This window comes from Homo sapiens, chromosome 2 (genome assembly GCF_000001405.40).
Source record: "Homo sapiens chromosome 2, GRCh38.p14 Primary Assembly".
Taxonomy (NCBI): Eukaryota; Metazoa; Chordata; class Mammalia; order Primates; family Hominidae; genus Homo; species Homo sapiens.
Window position 1 is genome coordinate 236,052,973 of NC_000002.12, and position 27,524 is coordinate 236,080,496.

Below are 27,524 nucleotides of genomic sequence, written 5' to 3' on the forward strand. Positions count from 1 at the left end.
ACTAGGTTTTAGGGGTTTAAGAAGGGAGCCGTCAGCTGTGTGTAGGACAGGACTTCGTAACACCCGGCTTGTGCGTGTGTGCGGTACCATAACGTAGCGTGTTGTAGGGCGTCGAGCAGCTGGGCCGGGGGCCACCAGCCAGGCGGGGCTCTGGGTTCCAGTGTTAGAGGTACATGGTGTTACTGTAAGGAGAAGTTGCCAAGCTCCTTGGTGACCCTTTCAAAGGCAAGAGTAATAAGCTCAGAGGTGAAGATGTTAAAACAGTCGTGCGAACGTCTCCTGCATGAATGAATGATTGAACGAGTAAATGAGTGAAAGCGGGAACTCGTCATCATGGAACACATGTCAGGTGCTCTTGCTACTTCGGGGCCTTGGAATTCCTCATGTGAGTGAAACCGGGGCTTTGACGTTTGCAGCACCAGCAAAGCCGTCTCAGTAAACCCGTCCACGCACATCCTCTCTCCCTCGCGGTACAGCAGTGTTTCCGGGGCTGCACGGCAGCGCCCTGGCCCGTTGTTCTTTATTGTTGTCCCCATTGCACTTAAAAACATTTGGGATTGGCTGCAGTGCAAGTGATTTCCTAGCAGGACGGAGCAGAGCCCTCTGGCGCCACATTCCTCTTGGCAGAAGCCTCGCTCTGCGTGGCACTGCATCTCCCCATCTTTGTGTCCTGGTGTCAAAGCATTTGGCCCCCAAGGCCCTGCAGGGACTCGCTGCTATTTGCATTTCAGTGCAGGTAGCCTGTTTACTTGGCGGCTTAGGAGCCTGCTGATTTGGGCCAGGAAATCAAAGGAACCTGGAAGTGGAGAATAGTGTTTTCAATTCCGTGAAAGAGCTCTTGAGAGGCGCTTTAAGCGCAACTGAAATCACCCATTACCTCTTTGATGCCACTTGGAAGGGAACCGAGTTTGCTGATTTAGTACGTATTCTTTTCCCTTTTTTAGCATCCTTTTTCTTTTTCTTCCCCCCATTATTTGTAAGTTCACCTCTGTGCCTAAACTCCCTTCTTGTCTTTAACCTATAAAAAGATGTCGCCTTCGATAGGAAGATTTGGGGCCAGACATCAGAAATCCACGTGGGAGAGACTGGCCGTACACTTCCAGATGGAACAAGTCTGCCCAGTGATGTGAGTTCCATCTCTTTTTGATTCTGGAACTCCACTTTCATCTTATTTATGCACATGGAGATATTGATAAAGGGGAAATGTATCCAAACTGAAAATAATTGGATCCCTACAGCTAACTCTGAGATATTAAAAGCAGTACCACTTGGCTGTGTCTTTGTCTTGTTAGGTTTGATCATAAGATCACAATGTAGTAATCTCGGGCTCAAATTTCTGGCATAAAGATGCACTGTTCCAAATGTGGCCTCAGGGAACACGACTGCCCACACAGCCCCAGGATTGTCTCATCTTATTATTTTTCAACAGTTCTTGGCCTGCTGAGGTCAATGTTTTGTCTCTTTTGAGTGTTCCTCTATGCTTGACACCTTTTCCTATTTTCTTTCTTAAAAAAAAAAAAAAAAAAAGGGAGGGGGAGAAAGGAGAAAAAAAATAAAAAAAGGACTTTGCCGCGATGACCAGAGTCCATCTGCAGTTGGGTGGCATCTGCTCCCCACATGTCACTTTCCTCATTAACAAGCAATTGAATTAATTAAATGCTACTCAGAACACGCATAACAAGCTACCGGCAGTGTCCAAATTAGCACTGATAATCAAGGATGATTTCCTTTATTATCCTGCTAAGTGGTGTGCAGACTCTGATCTCCCTGTCTGCCCTCATCTATTTACATACCCCCAGCTCCTGCCTTTGGAAGCGGAGGTTATCTTACCTAGTTAATTTGCCACGATCACCGAGCATGGCGGATTGATGCCCTGCCCCTGCCGCCACTGCCGGGCCCGGGCCCCCTCCCCGGCTGCCCTCCCCCAGCCCCAGCCTTTGTATCTCAAGCTCACTGATAAATTAAAGGCCACCCCTGTGGTCTCTCAAGTGAGTAATAGAGGCAGAAATTTCATTTTGCAACTGGCTGATTTAATGATCCAAAGGGTAATTAATGGCCTGATTATCTTAATGTTAAATATGTCCGGCAGCAATTACTGTGACCTCCCGCTTGTCAAGGTCCGGGCTGTGCTCTTCTTTCAATTAAGTTCTCTGGGGCTTAATGGTATGAATAAACTCCTCTGATTCTATCATCCCGGATGCAGAGGGTTCAGGGAGCTGGGGGCTCGTTTGGAGTTTTAATCAGCCTGTCTTCTACTCCGGCGATCAGAGTTAACAATTATAGCAAGGACAGTTTAACTTTCTTCTTCGCCGTGCAGACCCCCCTACATGTACACACATGCACACTTTTGTGTGTGGCTTTATGTGCCTTGTTTTCATGTGTTTCTTTCAGTGCTCTCAGGGAGAATTCTGTTTGTGGAGGAAGCTGCTGTGCTCTGTGAGCCTCGTCTCTTCCAATATAAATTATCATGTGAACGCTGTGGTTTTTCTATTTGACAGGCTTAATTAATTGGCAGGAGCCCCCGAAAATGACAGTACCACTAATTGCAACTCAAAGTGAATTTCTGTCACCGCGGCGTGCTTGTCAGTGGGCCTGCCCTGGCCCCAGCCGCAGAGCGGGTCCACCCTCCCAGTTTCCCCGTCCAGGCAGGGACTGTGCCCTGCTCAAGCCACGACAGTGGCAGCCTTCTCCGAGGAGCCGTGGGTTTGCAGGCACACCGTCTGCTGGCAGGAGTGACATTTACTACCAATAAAGTTTATACATCCTCGGCTATGCAAACGCAACAGCTGCTCAGGGACCTCAGCCCTTACTTAAGATATTTTAGCAACTTCTCTTAGCAAGCCAACTTGGAATCAGACTGAGAGAACCATAACTCACTTAGCCACCCTTCATGACTGGATGGTCCTCATTAGCACACTGCTAAATATGCTTCAGTTTACTAGAGCTCAGGGCCCGGATCAGAAATATTCTGCTATAAATATTAAGCCAATTAGGAAAATGTACAAATGAGAAGTACGTTAACACTGCCTTTAAAATAATACCTACAGATTACAGTTGACAACAGATAGAGCAATGCATCTAGTGAACCTCCACCAGGGAGCTTGGTGGGAATCCAGGCAAGCTCTCCATAAAGACTGGCTCTAATTATAAGAAAGGTGATTCTAAGAAGATTCTCCATGAGGTTAAGTATAATGGGATCTGCTTTTTCAAGGATAACTATACTTGCATTTGCCTTTGAACCAGACAGACAGAATGGTGCTCTCGGTTTATCATGCCGCCTGCCACACAGGAACCCCAGTTATTTGTTTGATCCTGCAAGAAACCAGTGTGTGCTTGGAGCCGGCTTTGCTACCGCAGAGCTGTCTAGGGTTGAAAATCCTTATCATTTACGTTCTGAAATACGGCCGTCGTGACAATTAAGGAGTTTCTGATGCTTAAGAATTTTTACTGCCCCTGGCAGATGAGAAGGCAAGTCATCAGCAGGCAGCAACTGGCTTCCAGGTGCCCTGACCACGTTCAAGCCTGTGTCTACTTGTGGGAGTGTATGAAGGAATGGAATGGGAAGATTAACCTTTTTAGGCTTGAATTATATAACATGGGCCAATAAATATGGCCTCTATTTTGATTCCTCCAGCAGTCAAGCATTTTCCAAAGGGCCCTGTCTTTCAGTCGTGTTTTGCTTATTTTGCACCAGAGACTCTCTGTCTTCTAGTGAACTTTTCTCTTTCTTCTTCTTAATGAAGAGGAGGGAGACAAAAACATGGCCGGAGCACACAGCGCCCTGTGTGCTTGGATTATCCCCATTCCCAGACGTGTGCCAGGGTCACATGGGAGCGCAGGTCAGACTGCAGGCACCAAGATCTGACTCCAGATGCCGCTCTGCAGTCCTGCTGCTGCTCCTGTTCCTTTTCTGCCAAATCCACGTCAGTAGCGGCATTGGGAGAACCGCCATGTTTAGCAGCACCACTCCCACTCGCCCCTGGTCAGTTTCTATCTCAGTAGCCATCGTGTGTCAAACTTACTAAATGAGTAGTGCAAACATATTATGTAACTACAGTGTCTTTCCACTTCACAGCAGCTTCACTTATAGTAATATAAGTAATCATAAAGCCTCTTCCATTTTAGTTTACATTCATTTAGCTGACCTGACTTTTTTGGTGGCGTCTCTCTCTGTCGCCCAGGCTAGAGTGCAGTGGTGCAATCTCGGCTCACTGCAACCTCTGTCTCCTAGGTTCAAGTGATTCTCCTACCTCAACCTCCCAGGTATCTGGGATTACAGGCACGTGCCAACACACCCAATTAATTTTTGTATTTTTAGTAGAGACAGGGTTTCAACGTGTTAGCCAGGCTGGTCTCAAACTCCTGACCTCAGGTGATTTGCCTGCCTTGGCCCCCCAAAGTGCTGGGATTACAGGCATGAGCCACTGTGCCTGGCCAAAACTCGACCTTACAAGTCACACAGCCATGATTCTAAAGTCTTAATTCTCTTCCATCAGTGCTAATCCTAAGAGCTTCCACAGAAAACAGCACTGAGAACTGTAAAATGTTGAGATCCACCCACACAAGTGCAGGGTTAGAGCCCCCCCCTCAACCCCCGTGTTTCACGTAACCACATCCTGCTCATGTCCCTGACCCAACACTGCGTTTTGGGAATATAAAGCCTGTATTGCAGAGACCTCACAATCATATTTATTATCTGCATGGTACAATATGGAGCCATGTCTCAGGCCATAGAGTTCCTGGTTCTGGTTTCATGGCCAGCATCTTCTGCCATTTTAATTTTAAAAACAGGGTAATTCCTCATTTCTAAGAAGAGACTAGTCATTTTTCCACCCACTTAATTATGTAGAGTTAGTGCTAAAAGAAAATAATATTTATGAAGTTTCCTGGGCTTCCTTTTTATCCAGAAGATACAATCAGCTTTGAGGCCTGGGTCATGCATACTAGCAGTGAGAGGGACAGGTGGTCCATGCCCTCCCCGGGGGTTGTGGAGGGCCTGCTGATATAGAAGATGTGGCCCATGTTTATTTTGCTTTGTATGTATATAATGGTTTATTGCAGCATCAGTATCACATGGAAAGGTATATTCTTGAGCCCCACCCAAGCCTACCCAGTCAGCATCCCTAGGGGGTAGGGTCCAGTGGTGTGTTTTAACTCTCTAGGTAATTCTTATGCACATTAAAGTTTGAGACACTCTGGTCTGCACTAAGTAGTAAAAATAAAAGTCCACAATCTTGCCTGTGAACTCACTGTGTTAATCCAAGTCCCTGGACTTCATTCCTCACTTCTTTAGACCCAGGTCTTCTGTTTTCTTCCTTTACCAGACTGTTGTCTGGCTTAGCATATCCAGTATATCCCAGCAGATGTTACAGCCAGAGAGCATCTACAAGAGGATTAGACTCTGTGATCAGGTGGCACTGAATGCAAGGAAGGCAAGGTTGGTTCGACACGCAAAAATCAATCAATGTGATATACCACATTAATACAGTAAAGAGAGAAGAAAACATAATCTTTTCAAGGGATACAGAAAATACATTTGACAAAACCACGTGCCCTTTCATGGTAACAAACACTCAGCAAACTAGAAATAAAAGGAAACTTGCTGAACCTGATAAAGGACATCTCTAAAAAACCCACAGCTAACATTGTACTTTATGGTGAAATACTGCAGGCTTTTCCCCTAAGATCACAAACAAGACAAGAATGTCACCAGATCTGTTCAGCATTATACTGGAGGTTCAAGCCAGGGAATTAGGCAAGAAGAAGAAACCAAAAGCATCCAGATTTGAAAAGAAGTAAAACTACCTCCATTTCCAGATGACATAATCTTTTATGTGGAAAATCCTAAGGAACCCATAAGAAACATGTTAAGCAAAATTGAAGGATACAAGATCAATGTGCAAAACTCTTAGCTGGCCATGGTGGCACAGTTCTGTAGTCCCAGCTACTCAAGAGGCTCAGGCAGGAGGATTGCTTGAGCCCAGGATTTCAAGGCTGCAGTGGGCCACAATCGCACCACCACTTTCCAGCCTGGGGAACAGAGCAAGACTCTGACTCTTAAAAAATCAAAAAGGCCAGGTGCAGTGGCTCATACCTTAAATCCCAATGTTTTGGGAGGCTGAGGCTGGAGGATTACTTGAAGCTAGGAGTTCAAGACCAGCCTGGGCAAAATAACAAGACCGTATCTTTAAAAAAAAAAAAAATTCTATTGTATTTCTTTCTGTACACTAGCAGTGGACAATCAAAATAAAATTAAGGACAGTTCCATTTACAAATAGCATCAAAAAGAGTAATATACTTAGAAATAAATTACCTGTACACTGAAAACTACAAAGCATCATCGAAAGAAATTAAAGAAGACCTAAGTAAATGAAAAGACATCATGTTCACGGATTGGAATATGGCAGTACTCTTCAAATCGATGTACAGAGTCGGCAAAATCACTTTCAGAATCTCAGCTGCCTGTTTTTTTCCCAGAAATTTGACAGCTAATCCTAAAATTCATATGGCACAGTAAGAGACCGTCAAATATCAAAACGGTCTTGAAAAAAGAATGAAGAAGTTGGAGATCTCACACTTTCTGATTTCAGAATTTACTGCAAAAGCATGGTGATCCAAGCCTGTGTGATATTGGTGTAAAAATAGACACACACGTCAATGAAGCGGAATCGAGAGTCCAGAAATGAGCCCCTTCATCGGTGGGCAGTTGATTTCCAAAAAAGATGCCAAGACATCTTCCCCATCAATGGGGAAGGAATAGTCTTTTTAGGAAGTGGTGCTGGGACAACTGGATATCCACTTGTGAAAGAATGAAGTTAGACTCTTATCTAATGCTATATATAAAAATTAACTCCAACACCTGTAATCCTAGCACTTTGGGAGGCTGAGGCGGGTGGACACTTGAGGTCAGGAGTTCAAGACCAGCCTGGCCAACATGGTGAAACCCCGTCTCTCCTAAAAATAGAAAAATTAGCTGGGCATGGTGGCATGCACCTGTAACGCCAGCTACTTGGGAGGCTGAGGTAGAATAATCACTTGAACCCAAGAGTTGGAGGTTGCAGTGAGCCGAGATCGCACCACTGCACTCCAGCCTGGGTGACAGAGCAAGACTTCGTCTCAAAACACACACACACACACAAATTAATTCCAGATTGATCAAAGCCTTGAGTGCAAAAACTGAAACTATAAAACTTTTAGAAGAAAATACGGGGTAAATCTTTGTGACTTTAGATTAGGCAGTGGTTTCTTAGATATGATACCTAAAGTGCAAGCAATAAAAGAAAAAATAGATAAATTGAATATTAGCCAAATTAAAAATTTTAGTGCTTCAAAGGGCAGTGTCAGAAAAGTAAAAATGCACAGAATGGGTGAAAACATTTGAAAATTAAATATCCAGTAGGGATCTGGTATCCAGAATATATAAAGAACGGTTACAGGTGGGCATGATGGCTCATGCCTGTAACCCTAGCACTTTGGGAGGCCAAGGTGGGAGGATCACTGGAGCCCAGGAGTTTGACACCAGTCTGGACAGCATAGGGATACCCCATCTCTATAAAAAATAAAAAACATTAGCCAGGTATGGTGACGTGCACCTGTGGTCATAGGTAAGCTACTCAGGCGGCTGAGGCAGGAGGATTGCTTGAGCCTAGGAGGTCAAGGCTGCAGTGAGCCGTGATCGCACCACTGCACTCCAGCCTGGGCCGCAGAGTGAGACCCCATCTCAAAAAAATAAAAATTTAAATTAAAAAAAAGAATACTTAAAACTCAACAATAGAAGGTAGATTGTCCAATTTAAACATGGGCAAAGAGCTGGGCATGGAGGCTCATGCCCGTAATCCCAGCATGTGGGGAGGCTGAGGCAGGAGGATCACTTGAGGCCAGCATCTCAAGACCTGCCTGATCAACATAGTGAGACCCCACCTCTACAAAAACTTTTAAAAATTAGCTGGGCACAGTGGGGCACACCTGTAGTCCCAGCTACCTGGGAGGCTGAGGTGGGAGGACCTCTTGAGCCCAGGAGTTTGAGGTTGCAGTGAGCCGTTATCACGTCACTCCACTCTAGCCTGGATAACAGAACAAGACCTCGTCTGAAAAATAAAATAAGTAAAAAATAAAAATGGGCTAAGACTCTAAATAGACATTTCTCCAGAAAATATAAAAATGGCCAGTAAATACATGAAAAGATGCCTAATGTCATTACTTTTTAGGGAAATGCAGATCACCCTTGAGCCCCCACCGCACGTGCTCTTGGACGGTCGTGGCAAGTGTTGGTGAGGAACGTGGAGACACTGGTGCAGCCACTTGGGAAGATAGTCTGGCACTTCCTCGAAAAGTTAAACCTAGAGTTACCGTATGACCCAGCCATTCCTCCCCCAGGTCTATACCTAAGATAAATGAAAACACTTGTCCACACAAAAATGTACACCTGAGTGTTCACAGCAACATCATTCATAATAGCCAAAAAGTGAAAGTAACCCAGGTGTCCCTCTGTGGATGAATGGGTGAACAAAACATGGTCTGTCCGTACACCAGAACGTGATTCTGCCATGGGAAGGAGTGAAGTGTGGATACAGGTTGTAACGTGGGTGAACCTCGAAGACATGATGCTAAAGGAAAGGAAGCAGGCACAGAAGGCCACACCGTGTACCATTCCATCTGTCTGATGGCGAAAACAGGCACCTCCATAGTAATGCAAAGTAGATTCCTGCTTGCCAGGTGCAGGGGAGGGAGGGGCAGTGGCGTATACGGAGTGATTGCCTAATGAGTACGAAACTTCTTTTGGAGACAACGAAAATGATCTGGATTTACATAGTAGTGATGGTTGTACATCCTTGCAAATATACTAAAAACCACTGAGTTGTACACTTTTAAAGTGTGAATTTTATGGTATATAAATTATGTCAATTTTGAAAAAAAAAAAAAAGGAATTTCCAAAGGAAAACAGATGAGCCAGGGCGTTCCACAAAGAGCAGCTGGAGCAAAGGTGCAGGCGTACAGGAACGCATGCTGGGTGGCGGGGGCCTGGGTGCGGGCCGAGGGCTGGCGTGGCTGCCCCTCCTCAGGCCTGGGGAGTAGAGCTCTGAGCAGGATGTGCACTGCAGCCAAATTCCTGCCCTGCGGACGGCCCACAGGGGAGCGAGAGCAGGTGGAAGGTGGTGCCTATGTCCAGGGGAGCAAGTGAGCCTGAATCAGCGATCATCACCACCAGATACTGGGAGTCCCTGGGAGAGATCAGGCACTTGACAAGCCCTGCCTCTTGGAATCCGCACAGCAAACCAATGCCATTCTTTCCTTTTCCTGGGCTAGGAAACTCAGGCCTGTGTCTCCCTGAGCCTGTGAATGCAGGACGGGCCAGAACCCACCCCAGATCTGACCTCCCTAGAGGAAGCCATGGCCAGAGGGGAGGGGAGGGAGGCAGAGCCAGGCTGGTATGGGATTCTAGGAGCATACTCAGGACTCGTATTTTGTTGTTGTTGTTGTTGTTGTTGTTACTTTTCATTTATTTTCATGTATTTTTTTTAGAAACAGAATCTCACTCTATCACACAGGCTTGAATGCAGTGGCATGATCATAGCTTACTGCAACCCCAGACTCCCAGGCTCAAGCAATCCTACCTAGTCAGCCTCCCAAGTAGCTGGGACTACAGCCACATGCCTCCACACTCAGCTATTTTGTTTGTTTGTTTGTTTGTTTTTGTTTGTTTGTTTGAGATGGAATCTCACTCTGTCACCCAGGCTGGAGTGCAGTGGAGCAATCTTGGCTCACTGCAACCTCCACCTCCTGGGTTCAAGCAAATTCTCTGCCTCAGCCTCCCAAGTAGCTGGGATTACAGGCTCCCGCCACCTTACCCAGCTAATGTTTGTATTTTTAGTAGAGATGGGGTTTCACCATCTTGGCCAGGCTGGTCTTGAACTCCTGACCTCATGATCCACCCACCTTGGCCTCCCAGAGTGCTGGGATTACAAGTATGAGCCACCGTGCCTGGCCATCAGCTATTTTTTTAAGAGATGGGGGTCTCACTATGTTGCCCAGGCAGGGATCCTGGCCTCCAGTGATCCTCCTGCCTTGGCCTCCCAAAGCGCTGGGATTACAGGGGTGAGGCACTGCGCCCCGCTGTACTCAGGACTTTTATTTTTTTTGAGCCAGAGTCTTGCTCTTTTGCCCAGGCTACAGTGCAGTGGCACAATCTCAGCTCACTGCAACCTCCACCTCCCAGGTTCAAGTGATTCTCCTGCCTCAGCCTCCCACCTGGGATTACAGGTACCCGCCACCATTAATGGCTAATTTTTGTATATTTAGTAGAGACGGGGTTTCACCATGTTGGCCAAGCTGGTCTTGAACTTCTGACCCCCAAGTGATCCACTGGCCTCGACCTCCCAAAGTGCTGGGATTACAGGCATGAGCCACCAGGAATGGTGGCTCTTAACCAAAGTGAATGTGGGGTGTGGGAAAGACAAGCATCCATGTTGATGTTTAGTTTTCTTTCTTGGGCCATTGGGAGGATGATGAGGCCTTTAAACAACAAGCAAAACACACAAAAGGTAATTCCAGTTGTAAAATCTTGACGAGATTATTTTCATGTTAAGAAAGGTAAAAGTTGCACACATTTGTGCTGGTGATTTCGACAAGATTAATTGATTGATTTCTAGGCTGGCCACCCAGTGTAGCAGAGGCCCAGCCTCACCTTTGCAGTCTTGGCTTTGTGACTGGGTCACTGGGCTTTAGAGGCAAACTGTCCGAGGCCAGTGGGACAAAGCAAGCCACTCCTGGCTGCAGAGATCTGACTTCACAGAATTACTTGAGGCCCAGAAAGGGAGAACAGCAGTGACAATACCATTAAAGCTTCAAATAATTAAATGTCATTTATAACTGATACAAAATTTCATCAACCAGGGGTCTGGAAGATGAACATTATCTGGAGCACACATCACTCAATTTTAGGGACCCACTCATATAAAAAGCATCTCTGATGTACGTGATCTAATACAAATGACCCTGGAGGATACATACATAATCATGATGACTTACCTATAAGTCTCTCCTCAAGGACCTCGAAGAGCTGCCACAATGTCTTCATGCTGATCCTTGCCATCTTAATGAAATTAGGAGATAACTGTTTAAAATCAGAGAAGATGACACCCAGACAGGAAAAGTGACTTGCCTATAATTAACCCAGTGACTTGGACCAAGCCAGAATTAGCCTGTGAACCTGTCACCCAGAGACTCCTGAGAGAAGCCAACAGCGTGGCTTAGGAGCATGGAGTTATGGCTGCAAATGCCTCTAGTAGCTTTCAGCCTCAAATGCTAAAGCCCAGGACACTCCTACACGTGAAAATTTGCTCTGCCGTGGCTCGCGCCTGTAATCCCAGCACTTTGGGGAGGCCGAGGTGGGTGGATCACTTGAGGTTGGGAGTTTGAGACCTGCCTGGCCAACATGTTGAAATCCTGTCTGTACTAAAAAAAAAATACAAAAATTGGCCAGGCATAGTGGCACACATCTGTAATCCCAGCTACTCAGGAGGCTGAGGCAGGAGACTCACTTGAACTCGGGAGGCGGAGGTTGCAGTGAGCTGAGATCGTGCCACTGCACTGCATTCTGGACAACAGAGCGGGACTCCGTCTTAAAACTAAATAAATAACAAAATGCCAGTAGCACTCCTGCTGAGGAGCATGGAAAGAGCCCTCCAAAAATTAAACCCACACTGCTGCAGAGGGACCCAGGATCAGCTCCCACCAGCTGATTGCTGGTATCCTTTAAACAGCACGTGAAAAGACCTGGAAGAGCCTCGCACCCTTCCTCGGAGAATTCTTTGGGGGTGTGGAAGGAATGAACTGAGAAAGAGGAATATGTTTTCATTCTAAATTGCCAAACTATACCTTTCTAAACACATAAAATGAAAACAAGAATAATCACCTGTTCTGTAATATTCCAGAGGAGCCATAGTAGATACTCAATAAATATTTGAGAGATTGTGTTACTTTTTCATTGTTTTCTTTCCAAAAACTAAAGTTAGGGTCATGATATATGACTGATAAAAAAAGGAAGTGGAAGTAAGTGGCCAGGCAAAGGCTCCATGGAGCATCAGCCTGACTGATACTGCTGGAGAGGTGAGGCAGATACAGACAGACAGCAGCTTATCGGAGGCCGGAAGGCTTACGTGCTGCCTTCATCACGGGCTTCGTCAAAACCTCTGGGTTTCAACACAGCATTGGAAAAGGCTCTGTTCCTGACGTTCCCACTTGTGGTTTTGAAATTGCCAAGCCAAGGGAAGTTCAATAACTTATTCGCACACAGGGGCACGTCCATTGGCTTTGAGTTAGGAGTGTCGGTGGTGGTGTCTTCAGCTCCTCGGGCCCCTATTGTTGCTGCCTGCTTGTGACTCTGCATTCGACTGGATGCATTTTATTTCTGAAATACACTCGCCCCGTGGGCGGTTTTCATCTGGCTGTGAAGCAGCCATCAAAGAAAGCTCCCCTAAATGTTCTGTTCGCAGGCAGCCTAGAAACCTTTTCTGACATGTTGCTAACACTCCATCAGGCTCTCTCTGGAATAGGAACAGTGTTCGGCCAGCCTGTGGACAGTTGGGTGATTATCGAAAGGGAGGCCCACAGGGGCTGCAGAGCTTAGAAAAAGGAACGCTTTTAAATGTGCATATTTACAACAAAATCCTGCTTCCTAAGGCAAGCGAGTGGGGTCCCATTGTTGCCGGAACACATCATCTCCATCATCCTTTTAAAAATGGGGCTCTTCTGACAGCTGCCTCCTGCTGGGTTGTGGAGCTCTGTGGCACCCAGTTGGGCTTCAGGGCAAATGAAGCCTTAGGACCCACCATCTAGCACTGCTTTCAGCAAAGCCTTCCAGAGTCCTTCCTTCTGTCCAGCAGCTTCCTTATCAGATGGGAAAATCCTTGCATCATTAAACGTGACAAGTCACTGTGCTTGTCCCCAGCTGTTGTGCTGAGATTCTAGGGAGTAGCTGTCTGATGGCCAGGGTGGCACTGTGGTCGGCATGTGTCAGCAACATCAGAGTCACTACTCGTGGCCCTCAGTGGGATGTGCCCTCAGTAATGGCTTGCCCATGTGTCCTGAAAACCCTTCTTCCATTGCTTGTCCCACTAGGGCCACCCTGCCCAAGCTCTGGAGGGGACACTCACTGTGCAAATCCGTTTACTGACACATGGGCCTCAGGAAGCCCTGATTTGCAGGCTGCAGTGAATGCACAAATTACTAGAATTTTGGTTTTTGTTTTTTATTGTTTTTGTTTTTGTTTTTTGAGACAGAGTCTCACTCTGTCGCCCTAGCTGGTGCAGTGGCACAATCTCAGTTCACTGCAACCTCTGCCTCCTGGACTCAAGTGATTCTCCTGCCTCAGCCTCCTGAGTAGTTGGGACTACAGACACCTGCCACCACGCCCAGTTCATTTTCGTATTTTTAGTAGAGATGGGGTTTCGCCATGTTGGCCAGACTGGTGTCAAATTCCTGAGCTCAATTGATCCACCCGCGTCGGCCTCCCAAAGTGCTGGGATTACAGGCGCGGGACACTGTGCCCAGCCAAATTACTAGAATTTTGAATACCTCATTCTTAAGGTCCCAGTATCATGCCATTCTTTTGAGATTGTTGAGATAAATCATGAACTCTTAAAATGGTTGGATTATCCAGAGCAAGTGGTATATTATTCTTTTAGCTTTTTAAAAAATTTATATTGGGGTATAATTTGCATACTGCATTACACACATTTTGAGTATACAATCAATTCAGTTGGTTTTGATAACTGCATAGGTCTATCAATAATATTCCTATCACCCCAGGAACTTCCCCTGTCCCCCCTCCTGTTTATTCTCCCTGTTCAGAAGCAGCCATGAATCTGACATCTGTCAGGATAGGTTAGTTTTGCCTCTTAGAAAATTCATGGAAATGGAATTATATGGTATATACGTTTTTGTGCCTGGCTACTATCACTCAAAAATGTAATTGAAAAGAATTGTTTATCTACCAATGATACATTTTCCCCATGTAAGGGAATATCTGAAAATGTCTTCTTCACCAACCAATTTTTTTTTTTTTTATCACTGAGACCTAAGAGTTTACTGTAAGTCAGATGTACTCTGTGTAGATCTGCTTCTGGAGTTGGGGTTCAGAGTTCCAACTCAGGTCAGACTGGCAGCATCCAACCTGGTCTTTACCACTGGCTTGCTGTGTGACCCGGGCTGGATGTTCACCCTCACTGTGCCTCAGTTTCCCATTCTGCCAAGTGAGGGGTAAGTGTAGTACCTGCCTCATCAGGATGATTTCAAGAATTAAATGAACAATATATATAACACAATGCTGAACACCTAATCTTCTCAATAGAGGGCTAAGTTCTAAATAGAAGTCATCTATTAGTTTTTTTAAGGAAAAATCACTACGCTTTTAAAGGAGAAAAACTTGTAAGAGTGAGACACTCTGAGCAAGTTCAGAAACATCGTTAAAAATTATAATGAAAAATACTATGTCTACCTGTCATATTTGCTATAATGCTAAATCAGGTGGGCAGGACAAGTCTTCAGTATCTACAGAAATGCCTAGTATTGAGCTAGCCCATTTGAGAAAGTAAAGATGTTTCTGGAAAGACAATCTGATTATTTTCTTAGGAAGTAGTGTGAAATAATCTATGTTACTATGCGCTAGATGATGTGGCCAAGACTGGGAGTAACACGTATTGGAAGAAGAGAATGGGGTCCTGTCTTTTCTCTGTTCTGGGGAAGAAACCTCATCTCTTAACAGACGTTCCGCACATCCTTTCCAGTATGCCGTGTTCACGTGAGGTGAGACGAGGAAGAGCGAGTGTTTTTCACAAGAGTCTCATGGAATCCAAAGAGTAATGACCGTTCCTGGATGTTTTGCATCATGTTCCAAATCATAGCCACCGGGCTGTCAGGGTCAGCCATCCGTCCTGTGCTATCTCATCTGGCAAAGAGAAGGACATGTTGTGTATGTTCCTGTAAGACAGAGTGGCTCTTACTAAAATCAAATAATTGGCTGGGTGTGGTGGCTCACACCTGTAATCCCAGCACTTTGGGAAGCCAAGGCAGGCAGATTGCCTGAAGTCAGAAGTTTGAGACCAGCCCGGCCAACATGGTGAAACCCCATCTCTGCTAAAAATACGAAATTTAGCTGGGCGTTGTGGCATGTGCCTGTAATCCCAGCTACTCGGAGGCTGAGGCAGGAGAATTGCTTGAATCCAGGAGGCAGAGGTTGTAGTGAGCCAAGATCACGCCACTACACTCCAGCCTGGGCAACAGAGCAAGACTCCATCTCAAAAAAACAAAAAATCAAATAGCTAGCGCAGATCACTGTGAAACATCTGATGGTAAAAAACAAAGGTCGTTTTGTTCCATAATATAATAACCCTTCCTGTTGGCCAACTCCCTCTCCTCTCCTCTGGCACTGCTGGTAAGAGTGAAAGTTGGGGAAACCTTCCTGGAAGGAACTTGGCAATATGTGTCAATAGCCTTTAAAATGATATGCTTTTTGACCTAGCAGTTCTTCTCTTAACATTTATCCTAGGCCGGGCGCGGTGGCTCACGCCTGTAATCCCAGCACTTTCGGAGGCCGAGGCGGGCGGATCACGAGGTCAGGAGATCGAGACCATCCTGGCTAACACGGTGAAACCCCGTCTCTACTAAAAATACAAAAAATTAGCCGGGCGTGGTGGCGGGCGCCTGTAGTCCCAGCTACTCAGGAGGCTGAGGCAGGAGAATGGCGTGAACCCGAGAGGCAGAGCTTGCAGTGAGCCAAGATCGCGCCACTGCACTCCAGCCTGGGCGACAGCGAGACTCCGTCTCAAAAAAAAAAAAAAAAAAAAAAAATTTATCCTAAAAACTGAAGGATGTAGGCTAGGCATGGTGGTTCACGCCTGTAATCCTAGCACTTTGGGAGGCCAAGGCAGGCGGATCATGAGGTCAGGAGATCGAGACCATCCTGGTCAACATGGTGAAACCCCGTCTCTACTAAAAATACAAAAATTAGCTGGGCATGGTGGTGCATGCCTGTAATCCAAACTGCTCGGGAGGCTGAGGCAGAAGAATCACTTGAACCCGCGAGGTGAAGGTTGCAGTGAGCCGAGATCACGCTAGTGCGCTCCAGCCTGGGCAACAGCGTGAGACTCCATCTTAAAAAAAAAAAAAGAAAGAAATTTTAAATAAAGCAAAAATTCAAAATAGGCAATTAAATAAATTATTACTTTAGTATGCAAGTAATGCATATAGTTACATTATATAAAATACATGATTTTGTCGTGTACACGTGACAATGCAATGTAAATATACATACGTTATGATGTATAATTGAATATATATCATAAAATCTTACATTTCATATAATGTAATGAATTATATATAATGTATAAATTTTACATGGTAAGTATATGCATTATTTATACATATGAGCATAGCACATGATATAAACAGTGCAACTTTGTTTTTCTTTCGATACAGAGGCTCCCTCTGTCACCCAGTCTGGAGTGCAGTGGCACAACCTCGGCTCACTGCAACCTCTGCCTCCCAGGTTCAAGTGATTCTCCTGCCTCAGCCTCCCAAATAGCTGGGATTACAGGCACACGCCACCACGCCTGGCTAACTTTTGTATTTTTAGTAGAGACGGGGTTTCACCATGTTGGCCAGGCTGGTCTTGAACGCCTGACCTCAAGTGATCTGCCCACCTCAGCCTCCCAAAGTGCTGGGATTACCGGAGTGAGCCACTGCACCTGGAAATGTGATGATGCAGGTGAAAATGTGATTACATGGGGAGATAGTTATGGTATTCTGTTAAAATATTGTGTACCCCAAATTGTTAATTGTGACACTTTCTCTAGGGGATAGGGTTCTGATTTATTCTTATTTATTGCTTATCTTTATTTTCTAATTTTCTGCCATTTTAAAAATTTGGTTAGATTTTTAATAAGCTATCTATGACATCAGAGCCGTAGAGGGCCGGGAATGTGTCATTGACATGAATGGCATGGCTTGCCTTTCACCCAGTGTGACAGTGGTGGCTGACGCCACCCAAGGGCACACTGGTCCACTGTCAGTGGCGCCTAGAGCCCTGGCATCTGCTGGCTGTGGCGCTGTATGAGAGCATTCGTGTTAGGAGTACCACTGGGGTGTGACCCCCACATTGCTCCCGAAAGCTGTGCAGCCATGACCCGCACCCTCCCCAGACTCAGTTTCCTCCTCTGGAAGTGGACCTGCTAGTTCTCCTTTTGTTCCCAGTTTGCTCTTGGTTTGGATTTGGCATCAGGGCGAGTGGTTAGGGGCAGCGTCCGGACACCATGCTCACCTACCCAGATGAATGAGAAAGAGCAGCATTGAAATCCTCAGGCTAATTCTGAAGGACTCTTAGCAGCTGAGGAGCATCTATAAAGTTATGAGTTCCTCTGAAGTTTTAGTGAAATTACGGGGCTACTCTGTGGCCTACCACTTCCACCCCTAGGCGTATCCACAAGAGAAATGAAACCTGCGTTCACACAGAAACTTGCACATAAATGTTCATGGCAGCATCGTTCCTATTAGCTACACAGTGGAAACAAACTAAAATGTCTATCCACCAATGAATGCATAAACAAAATATGGTGTATCCACACAATGGAATATTGTTCAGCCACAGAAAAGACTAAAGCATTGATGTATACTACAACGTAAATGCACCTTCAACATTATGAAGCCAGTCACAAAAGACTTCATACCGTGTAATTACATGAAATGGCCAGAATAGGCCAATCCATACGGACAGAAAGTGGATTGGGGTGGCCCTGGGCCGGGGCAGGGGCGGGGAGGCATCAGGGGGATGGGCAGTGCTTGCTCATGGGAGTGGGACTTCTTTTTGGGGTGATCAAAATGTCCCCAAATTGGTTGTCATGGTGGTTCCATGACTCTGAAAAATGCTAAAACCATTGAATGGTGCATTTGGAGATGAGTGAATCGTAGGGTATGTGAATTACATCTCAGCAAAGCTGTTAGAAAAAAGAAAAGATATGCCACATTTTAAGTGGTGGGAAAAATCAAAGAGAGCATGTTCTGAGTTTTAAACAAAGCTAGAGGAGATCATGTTTCTGAGACCGTTAAGGAAGCCCACGGCTTTGCCGGCATGGAGTGAGAAGATGGGAACCACCTGCCCAGTCGGGCTTGGAGGGCAGCGCTGGTTCATTTCTTTGACATCAGTGGCCTTAGCCCCGAATAATCCTTTTTAGAAAATCAAAGAAGCACTCAGGCTAAATATGCAGGATTTTTGAAGTGTCCAACAGATTTTATTTGAGACCATAAAAGGGGTTTGTGAACTGTCTGGGACAGTCATGGACCAAGTCTGAGCCCACCTGGCCTGCAGATGGCTTCCTGCTGAGCACCTCGGTGGTCCCAGCCACTCCTGGAAGGATTGGTTCTAGCACAGAGAACAGAGCCCACCCAAGGGACTGTGAGGACCTGGCTTGGGGTGGCAGGGCCTGACCCCAAGGATACATACAATCTGGAACATTTATTTGTTCAACAGCCACTCTCCCAGAACCACACTGGGGCCATGCGATCTACAGACCCTTATGTGTGCTGTGTGTGCAGAGGGGACTCACGGTAAACAGTTCAGCCAGTGTTTGTGAATCTGCAGTGCGATGCAGGAAGACCTGCCTGATCTGCGGTGGACTGGCCAGGACCAGCCTAGGAAAGCCATTTGGGCTGATCTGTCTGAAAGAGCTGAATTAAAAGTGAGAGTTTTAATAACAGAAATGAAGAAGGAAAAAAATGGCCAGCAGCATAGGAGTGCTCCCCAGTGTTGCTGGGGAGTTTCGCTGCTGCTCAGCCCCTGTTCAGGGTCTTCTGGAAGCTCCCAGCAGCCTCCTGAGACAGACAGGTTGGAGCACCACAGCTGCCTGCGGCTGGCACACAGAGTCGTAATTTTTCTTGGTTTTAAAAACCAATCCAGATCTTGGAATTATCCACCGTTGTGGTAAACTTAAAATTGTCCAAAGACACCGGATGACTCTCCTTCAAATGGTGTCCCTGGCCCATCTCTAGGAGAGAACTAAACTTTTTTTAAAAAAACTCACATATCCTGTGGTTTTTCAATTCTCAAAAAAAGCTTTTGTCTCTCCTGTCTGTTCTCTCCAAAAGTAGTCTTCGTTGTGGGTTTTTTTTTTTTTTTTTTTTTTTAGAGATAAGGTCACCGGGCACAGTGGCTCACGCCTATAATCCCAGGACTTTGGGAGGCCAAGGCAGACAGATCACAAGGCCAAGAGATCGAGACCATCTTGGCCAACATGGTGAAACTCCATCTCTACTAAAAATACAAAAAATTAGCTGGGCGCGGTGGTGCGCGCCTGTAGTCCCAGCTACTCTGGAGGCTGAGGCAGGAGAATCGCTTGAACCCGGGAGGCAGAGCTTGCAGTGAGTGAGCCAAGATCGCACCGCTGCACTCCAGCCCGGCGACAGAGCAAGACTCTGTCTCAAAAAAAAAAAAAGAGATAGGGTCTCACCCTCTTGCCCAGAGTGGAGTACAGTGGTGTGATCATGGCTCACTGCAGCCTTAAACTCCTGGGCTCAAGGGCTCCTCCTGCCTCAGCTGCCTGAGTAGTCAGGACTACAGGTATGAGCTACCATGCCCAGCTAAATTTAATTTAATTTATTTATTTATGTAGGTAGGTGAGTATAGACAGGATCTCACTTTGTTAGCCAGGTTGGCTCAAATTCCTGACTTCAAGTGATCCTGCCGCCTTGGCCTCCCAAAGTGCTAGGATTACAGGAGTGAGGCACTGCATCTAGCCCAAAAATAGTCTTTTCTTACATTTTCCCCTCTAATGTCTTACCTGCCATACCACTGTCTGCTGTCCAGCTGAACTATACCAGGAGCCATATGTGTTGTTTTAAATTTTCTAGTAGCTGCATGTTAAAAAGTCAAAAGAACCTGATGGAAGTAATTTTAATAATGTAGTTAACCCAGTGTATGTAACATGTCAATTCAGCATAGCAAGCAATGTAAAAAAGCATTCAGGAGATATTTATATTCTTTTTTTTTTTTTCCTAGACAGTCTCGCTGTGTCTCCAGGCTGGAGTGCAGTGGTGCAATCTCAGCTCACTGCAACTTCCGCCTCCCAGATTCGAGCGATTCTCCTGCCTTGGTCCCCCGAGTAGCTGGGATTACAGGCGCACGCCACCACGCCTGGCTAATTTTTGTATTTTTTAGTAGAGACGGGGTTTCTCCATATTGGCCAGGCTGGTCTCGAACTCCTGACCTCGTGAACCACCCGCCTCGGCCTCCCAAAGTGCTGGGATTACAGATGTGAGCCACCGTGCCTGGCCTATATTCTTCTTTTATTCTGAGCCTTTGACACATCAGTAGGTTATTTCACACAGCACATCTCCATTAGGACTAGCCACGTTTCAAGCATCTGATGGCCACATGTGGCCCATGTTTGGCAATCATGGGTCTAGATAGCTTATCAGGACAGGAGTTACATTTGCCCTATCAGCTTGCAAAACATGCTGCAAAACAGCTTGCAAAACAGCTGGGGACTGGAGATATTGGATTATACCATCTTGGTGTTGCGCCAGTCAGGAGTAATTGTTGTAAGTTAGGCTTTGACAAGGACCTTGTAATGATGCTCACATAGAAGATAATTTATAAATACCTATAACATAACCTGAGAATGGCGATTAAGTAACCTGGTCTTAACTCCAGGGCCCACCACAGCAACTTTGAGCTTAGATGCCACTTAACCTTTTGTAACTTGTAACTTCATTGGTGGTGGGGGTACAGGCAGGTCAGCTTGTTCACATGGGCTGCAAACATGGCTTTACCCCACCGTCTCCCGTGGCCTTCTCAACACACTTTAGAATCTGCAGGAGACCTGCAGCCCCCCACCAGACCCCCAGAATCACACTATGCTGGTTGGCCTGGGCATGCCCCTCCCCCCAAGCATTTCCGCTGCACATCCCAGCTCAAGAACCACCCTCTGGGTGCCAAGGTCTCCTCCAGGAGCACAGGTTCTCACCTGGGGCTGATCTGCCCCCTGGGGACATTTGGAAATGCCTGGAGACATCCTGGATTGTCCCAGCGTGGTGGGGGGCTGGGGAGCCCCTGCTAGCTGTAGAGATCCAGTGACAGTTTGCATGAGAGGTTTCTCCATTGCATACCAGCTGACTCTGAGGAGCAGCTTGACGCGGTAGGGGCCCTAGTGAGAAACCTTGCCTTCCTGGACCATTTGGGCCACAAGTCAGCATAAGTGACTTCTCCTAACATCAGTACCCTCTGCAAGGGAGAGGCTAAACAAGAAGACCCCCGGGGAGCCCCTGCTAGCTTGGGAAGTGTGTGATTCTCTCCACTCCCTCCCCATAGAATCAACTGTAAAAGCTTTAGCCATTTCTTTGGGACGACTTTGGATCAGCATATAAAGATACTGGGTGTTCTGTGCACACTCTGCACTCTGGGAAGTTAATGAGCAGTTTTTATCTGGCATGGCACAGGCTGTTCTTAATTTTTACAAGCTTAAGCTCAGCAATTTCAAGTTCATTCTAAACATTGAAAGAGTCCATTTGCTCTTACGAGATAATAGTCTCCATAAAACCTAACATCTACATACAGTAGGTATTTCTGAACCACACTCAACCAAAATAAATGTGTAAAAATGTTACGAAACATTTATTGAATTAGACAATGACCAAAAATTTCTTCAGTGCAAAGCACACTCAGATTTGGTTTTTATTTCCATTTCCTGTTTTCTTTTACTTAAAAGTCTATAGAATTAACATAAAGGTTGAGTTCTCAGTGAAAGAAACCAGGCTGGGCATGGTGGCTCATGCCTGTAATTCCAGCAATTTGAGAGGCTGAAGCATGCGCATCAGTTGAGCTCATGAGTTCAAGACCAGCCTGGACCGCATGGCAAAACCCCATCTCTACAAAAAATACAGAAATTAGCCAGGCATGGTTGCACGCGTGTAGTCCTAGCTACTCAGGAGGCTGAGGTGGAAGGGTGGTTTGAGCCCGAGAGGTGGAGGTTGCAGTGAGCCAAGATCACTCCACTGCACTCCAGCTTAGACGATAGAGACAGACCTTCTCTCAAAAAGAAAAAAGCGAGACACAAAAGATCTATAAGTGATTGATTCGGTTTACATGGCGTCTCAGAAAAGGCCAGTCTGTAGAGATAGAAGGAGAAGCGGTTGCGTCGGTGTGGAAAGGAAAATTTCAGGTGGGCATGAGGAATCTTTCAGGGGTGGCAGAAACGTTCTAAACCAGATTCTGGTGATGGTTGCGCGCTGGGTTTTTTTTACTAGAAATCACTGAAGTGTATCCCTAAAAACAGGTAGATTTTATGATATGTAAATTATACCTTAATACAGCTGTTGGGGAAAAAAGAAGACTTGGTACTGCCCATCCCCACCCCCAAGGGCTCCCAGTTTATTAAGAAAACTAAGGAAAACATAAGACAGATGAATGGGGGATGAAGCCGCAAAGGGTCCCCGCTGCTGCCCCCTTGGACATCGTAATAGTGAACTGTGTTCTGGCCTTGGGTGAGGATCAAGGAAGCTGGGCCCAGATCTTTTTCCTTGGTTTTCAAAGCCTTCCAGGTAAATATGGGACCTGCCAGGGTCTTTCAGCACTGGAAATAGCCGACATGCCCCTCAGTGGCCTCCAGGGGAAGCCCCCCAGGAGCTTTGAGGAGCTGCTTTCTCCTCCGCTGCTTTGAGGAGCTTATAGCCCCTTCAAGCTCTTCCCAAACCTCACAGGCCTTTCTGCGTCCCTGACAGAGGTCTCAAGAGGAGCCTTTGACAAACAGCAGTGAGAGCTGATTGCTGCCCAGTGTCATCAAGATGCCGCCATTGATTCTAGCTTTGGAATCTGTGGCCAAATAGGTGACTCAATCTGAAATTTATTTGGAGAAGGCAGACAAACATTCAGAGGAAGCAGCAGAAGTTCCATTAGAGCAAACCTCCGCAGGGAGTGAGAGCAGGGGCCATGCTGCAGAGGAGGCCGGGGCAGCGTGGGTCACCCAGGCGGAGGCGGTGCCGCCCCCTCACATGGACCAGGGGTCTGGGGGCAGCTCTGCTCCTCACCAAGGCCCAAGACCCGTGCTGTCATAACAGTCCTCCTTCAGAGACACCCCTCAATCAGATCTAGGAATTGAAAGTCAGATTGGTTTCACAAGAGAATATTGTGGAGTTTTTTAAAGTCTTGAGGCGGGGCGCCGTGGCTCATGCCTGTAATCCCAGCACTTTGAGAGGCCAAAGTGGGTGGATCACTTGAGGTCAGGAGTTCGAGACCAGCCTGGCCAACATGGTGAACCCCCATCTACTACAAATACAAAAATTAGCCAGGCATGGTGGCATGAGCCCATAATCCCAGCTACTTGGGAGGCTGAGGCAGAATTGCTTGAACCCTGGAGGCAGAGGTTACAGTGAGTCGAGACCACACCATTGTACTCCAGCCTGGGTGACAGAGTGAGACTCCATCTCAAAAAAAAATAAAGTCTTGAGAATGTTCACTTCCTGACGGCTTTGCACATGGCCCATAACAAGCTGTCCTGACCTTCTCAGTGTGTGACCCAGGACACCGTGGAATCTGGGAAAGCCATGATTTCCACAGTATACTCCTAGAAATTTTAATCTCAGAGAATGATGATAGATGTTTCTGGAAAATGAGTTGTGTTTGAGAACTGGATTAAACAAAATTACAGAGGCTTCTTTGTGGCACTTAATAATTTCCCAAACCACTAAAGAGGGAAGCCCCAGCGCTATGAGCATACCTGGCAACAGACCACTTCCTAGAGAAATGCCTCCAGTGAGCCAGGGCTACATTTTGGGAAGTGACTGTATCCTACAGAGTAGAAAAATAGTCCCAGCACAGGGTCTCATGCCTGTAATCCCAGCACTTTGGGAGGCCAAGGTGGGCAGATTGCTTGAGCCTAGGAGTTCAAGACCAGCCAGGGCAACATGGCAAAACCCTGTCACTACAGAAAATACCCAAAAAAAAAAAGCCAGGCATGGTGGTGCATGTCTGTGTCCCAGCTACTCCAGAGGCTGAGGCGGGAGGATCGCTTGAGTCTGGGAGGAGGAGGTTGCAGTAAGCTATGATTGTGCCCCTGCACTCCAGCCTGGGCAACATAGTGAGACCCTGTCTCAAAGAAAAAAAGAGTAGAAAAAAAAAAAAAAAAATATATATATATATATATTCATATTCCAACCCCCGAGAGATAATCAGTTAATGTTTGACATATTACATGTAGTCTTCCTCTGCAACATTTGTGAAAAGAAACAGTGCTTTAAAGAATTTAAGAGCCTTTTTTGGGCTAAAACTATATCATGAACATCTTCTCATGTCCTTATGTATGTCTCTTTTTTTTTTTTTTTGAGACAGTTTCGCTCTGTTGCCCAGGCTGGAGTGCAGTGGCGCGATCTCAGCTCACTGCAACCTCCGCCTCCCATGTTCAAGTGATTGTCCTGCCTCAGCCTCCCGAGTAGCTGGGATTACAGGTGCGTGCCACCACGGCCAGCTAATTTTTGTATTTTTAGTAGAGACGGGGTTTCATCATATTGGTCAGGCTTGTCTCAAATTCCTAACCTCAGGTGATCCACCCACCTTGGCCTCCCAAAGTGCTGGGATTACAGGCATGAGCCACCACCCCCAGCCATGTATGTCTTTTAAAGCGTTATTTTTAGTGGTGTCACAATAATCCGTCCATGGTTGAGCCGTCATTACATAGTCATCCCCCTTGGACATGGGTTTGCAATGAAATATTGAAATACCGCTGGGTTGAGCACATTTGTGAATACAGCTTATGGGGCTTATGATTAATTCATTTCTAAGGATGAGTTTCTAGAAGGAGCCAAATGAGGTCAAAGGCTGTGGACTTTTTCAGGTATTGATCCAACATCACTGTGCTGCTCTCCAGAAGGGTGGTGCCCTCTGTGTACATCTGTTCTTTCTCACCTTGCGTCTCCCCTGGGTCACTGCCAGCCTCACAGCGATAGGGCTCTGCTTCAATTGGGTCTTTGCTCTGCTCACAGCCATGCTGTATCCATCAGGGTTCTCCAGAGAAACAACCAATTTGTGTGTGTGTGTGTGTGTGTGTGTGTGTGTGTGTGTAATCTGAAGTGTGTAGGGCAGGCCAGCTGGTGTGTGTGTGCATGTGTGTAATCTGAAGTGTGTAGGGCAGGCCAGCCGGGGGTGTGTGTGTGTGTGTGTGTATATGTATGTGTGTGTGTCACATCTGAAGTGTGTAGTGCAGGCCGGCGTTCTGGAAACTCGGGCAGAAGTTAATGCTGCATGCTTGATGTAGGATTTCATCATCACGAAACCTGTTTTTTGCTCTTTGGGCTCTCACCTGATGGGATGAGGCCCACCTGCTTTCTCAAGGATAATTGCCTTTGTTTGGAGTCCATGGACTATAAGTGACATCTACAAAAGGCCTTCACAGCAATGCATAGGTTGTGTGTGATGAAATCACTGGCCGCCGTGGCCTGGCCAGGTTGACATGTGAAACTGATCATGAGTCATCCTGCTATGACTTTAATTGCCTGGAGAATTCCTTCCCAGCAAAAGCCGCACGCTGCTTCTCCCAGAGGGGTGGGGTGCATTTTATTGGGCACTTTTGCCTTTGAAAACGTAATCTCCCTAGATAAGTATTACCACTGAACCACCTGCTGAGCAGCGTGCTAGCATTTCTTGACTCCAGATGGGTTTCACACACGTCTGTCCCCTACCTGGCTCCTGTGGCTGGGTGCTAGATGGGACCATGGGACCCAAGTCCACCCTCTGGCCCCTTCTCCCTGTAGGATTCCTAAGCTTGAGCCAGACTGGTCGTTCTGCCAGGTTGGTTGCCCACCCTCCTACCCCTGCAGCGGCCCCATCCCACGTGGTTAAGTGGGTGGCCACACCCACTGCCTTTCCTTTCTCACTTCCAGCTCTGTTCTTCATTCCAGCAGAAGGTCCAGCCTCACACAGTGACCCAGTGGGCTTGAACAGTGAGGTTCCAGTCCCGTCCCTTTAGCCTCATCCCTCATGGGGGAAGATACCTGATGCCGGGGCTGGGGTGTAGGAGGTGGTTGAAACAGCCTGATCTACACCCCTGCCTGGTGGGTTAGGGCTCCGATGCCACACCAGGCCTGGCATCTAGACAGAGAGTTCCACAGAGTCCCCTCTGCCTGCTATGTGCCAGGCACTGTACTAGCACCACACCTGCCCTCAGGAAACTCACAGCATGAAGGAGAGAGAGACACCAAAAATTGCTTGATACTGTGACCCATGCTGGCCAGGCACGGTGGCTTACACCTGTAATCCCAGCACTTTGGGAGGCCAAGCGGGAGAGTTTCTTGAGGCCAGGAGTTCGAGACCAGCCTAGGCAGCATAGTGAGACTCTGTCTCTACAAAAAAAGAAAATTTAAAAAAAAAAAAAAAAAAACAGGCATGGTGGCATGTGCCTGTGGTCCCAGCTACTCAGAAGGCTGAGTTGGGAGGATCGCTTGAGCCCAGGAATTTAAGGCTGCAGTGAGCTGTGATCGTGCCACTGCATTCCAGCCTGGGTGACAGAGACCTCGTCTCAAAAAAAAAAAATTATATATATATACACACACACACACACATACATACACACACACATATACATATACATACATACATATATATATAGTGATCCATGCAAAATCTGCAGCAGGGGTAGGCAGACAGGAGGAAGTGGGTTGCAGGGTCAAGGCAAGCCTCAGAGAAAAAAACCTGAGACTGAGTGGCCCTGACAGGCAGTTGGTGGGACAGGGAAGGGGGTGGTACAGACGGAGGGAACCCCCATGCAAAGGTATAAAAGAGGACCCCCCAATATGCTAACATGTATTCCACTGTTGCTGAAGACTAACACTCAAGGCACTGGTTACCAGGGAATGAGAACTTGTGTTGAGTTTGAGATTTTACTTACCTGGCAAGTTGGCCTTCCAGTTTCACGGAGCTGGTCTAAGATATGAGACTTCAGGGTCAGAGACAAAGAAAAATCCGTTATTCACAGCAATAGCAGTAGCCAGAGTATTAGCATTTGGGTCATTTCCCAGGTCCCAGTGCCCATAGCTGTGATGTAGTCAGGGCCCCATGGCATCCGCACACATCAAGGGCTGCATTGCAGGAGAGGAACCCTAAGCTTAGGAACCAAATCTTCTACAGTGGGCACAAAGCACATTTGCCCTGTGCTCTGGAGGGAGATGCTATCTCCATCATCCAAGGCTGTTTCCTGTGCATGTTCTTGGAAAGATAGTTGGGAAAAAAGGCAGGCAGAGCCTCTGCTGGAAAGACACAGGGAAAGGAGAGAGAAGAATTGTTACCCGGCAAAGATCAGACTGCCTCCTCCACCAAGTCTCTGGTCTAGATTCTGTGAGTCCAGAAACCTCCATCTCAGTCTAGGAGGGACAGCTAGGAGGAAATAAGGACGTCAGTTTGCAACCAGACAAGTTTAGAGGCCTGTGGAATTCCCAGGCCAAGGGAAGAGTTGTTACGGAGACTCTATGGCCAAGAGGGACAGATCACA

The 27,524-nt window shown here is 46.7% G+C and overlaps 1 protein-coding gene and 1 pseudogene across 4 annotated transcripts in view, besides 8 other annotated features; both read left to right on the forward strand.

The window, feature by feature from the left end:
• Window positions 1–27,524, forward strand: part of AGAP1 (ArfGAP with GTPase domain, ankyrin repeat and PH domain 1) — a 637,751-nt gene that overhangs the window by 558,930 nt on the left and 51,297 nt on the right. The window lies entirely within an intron of this gene.
• Window positions 350–1,097: an enhancer, noted in NCBI's record as "OCT4-NANOG-H3K4me1 hESC enhancer chr2:236961966-236962713 (GRCh37/hg19 assembly coordinates)". NCBI's record gives its function as "activates a minimal SCP1, AML or CMV promoter by ChIP-STARR-seq in primed H9 embryonic stem cells {active_cell/tissue: H9 hESC(primed)}" and the evidence as "EXISTENCE:reporter gene assay evidence [ECO:0000049][PMID:30033119]".
• Window positions 350–3,241: a biological region, named in NCBI's record as "VISTA enhancer hs921".
• Window positions 983–3,241: an enhancer, noted in NCBI's record as "VISTA enhancer hs921". NCBI's record gives its function as "enhancer in: forebrain[6/7] | limb[4/7] | branchial arch[5/7]" and the evidence as "EXISTENCE:transgenic organism evidence [ECO:0001131][PMID:17130149]".
• Window positions 8,512–9,143: an enhancer, noted in NCBI's record as "H3K27ac-H3K4me1 hESC enhancer chr2:236970128-236970759 (GRCh37/hg19 assembly coordinates)". NCBI's record gives its function as "activates a minimal SCP1, AML or CMV promoter by ChIP-STARR-seq in primed H9 embryonic stem cells {active_cell/tissue: H9 hESC(primed)}" and the evidence as "EXISTENCE:reporter gene assay evidence [ECO:0000049][PMID:30033119]".
• Window positions 9,144–9,774: an enhancer, noted in NCBI's record as "H3K27ac-H3K4me1 hESC enhancer chr2:236970760-236971390 (GRCh37/hg19 assembly coordinates)". NCBI's record gives its function as "activates a minimal SCP1, AML or CMV promoter by ChIP-STARR-seq in primed H9 embryonic stem cells {active_cell/tissue: H9 hESC(primed)}" and the evidence as "EXISTENCE:reporter gene assay evidence [ECO:0000049][PMID:30033119]".
• Window positions 18,203–18,704: an enhancer, noted in NCBI's record as "H3K27ac hESC enhancer chr2:236979819-236980320 (GRCh37/hg19 assembly coordinates)". NCBI's record gives its function as "activates a minimal SCP1, AML or CMV promoter by ChIP-STARR-seq in naive H9 embryonic stem cells {active_cell/tissue: H9 hESC(naive)}" and the evidence as "EXISTENCE:reporter gene assay evidence [ECO:0000049][PMID:30033119]".
• RN7SL204P (RNA, 7SL, cytoplasmic 204, pseudogene) lies at window positions 19,323–19,584 on the forward strand (annotated as a pseudogene).
• Window positions 20,987–21,487: an enhancer, noted in NCBI's record as "H3K4me1 hESC enhancer chr2:236982603-236983103 (GRCh37/hg19 assembly coordinates)". NCBI's record gives its function as "activates a minimal SCP1, AML or CMV promoter by ChIP-STARR-seq in primed H9 embryonic stem cells {active_cell/tissue: H9 hESC(primed)}" and the evidence as "EXISTENCE:reporter gene assay evidence [ECO:0000049][PMID:30033119]".
• Window positions 22,494–22,998: an enhancer, noted in NCBI's record as "H3K4me1 hESC enhancer chr2:236984110-236984614 (GRCh37/hg19 assembly coordinates)". NCBI's record gives its function as "activates a minimal SCP1, AML or CMV promoter by ChIP-STARR-seq in primed H9 embryonic stem cells {active_cell/tissue: H9 hESC(primed)}" and the evidence as "EXISTENCE:reporter gene assay evidence [ECO:0000049][PMID:30033119]".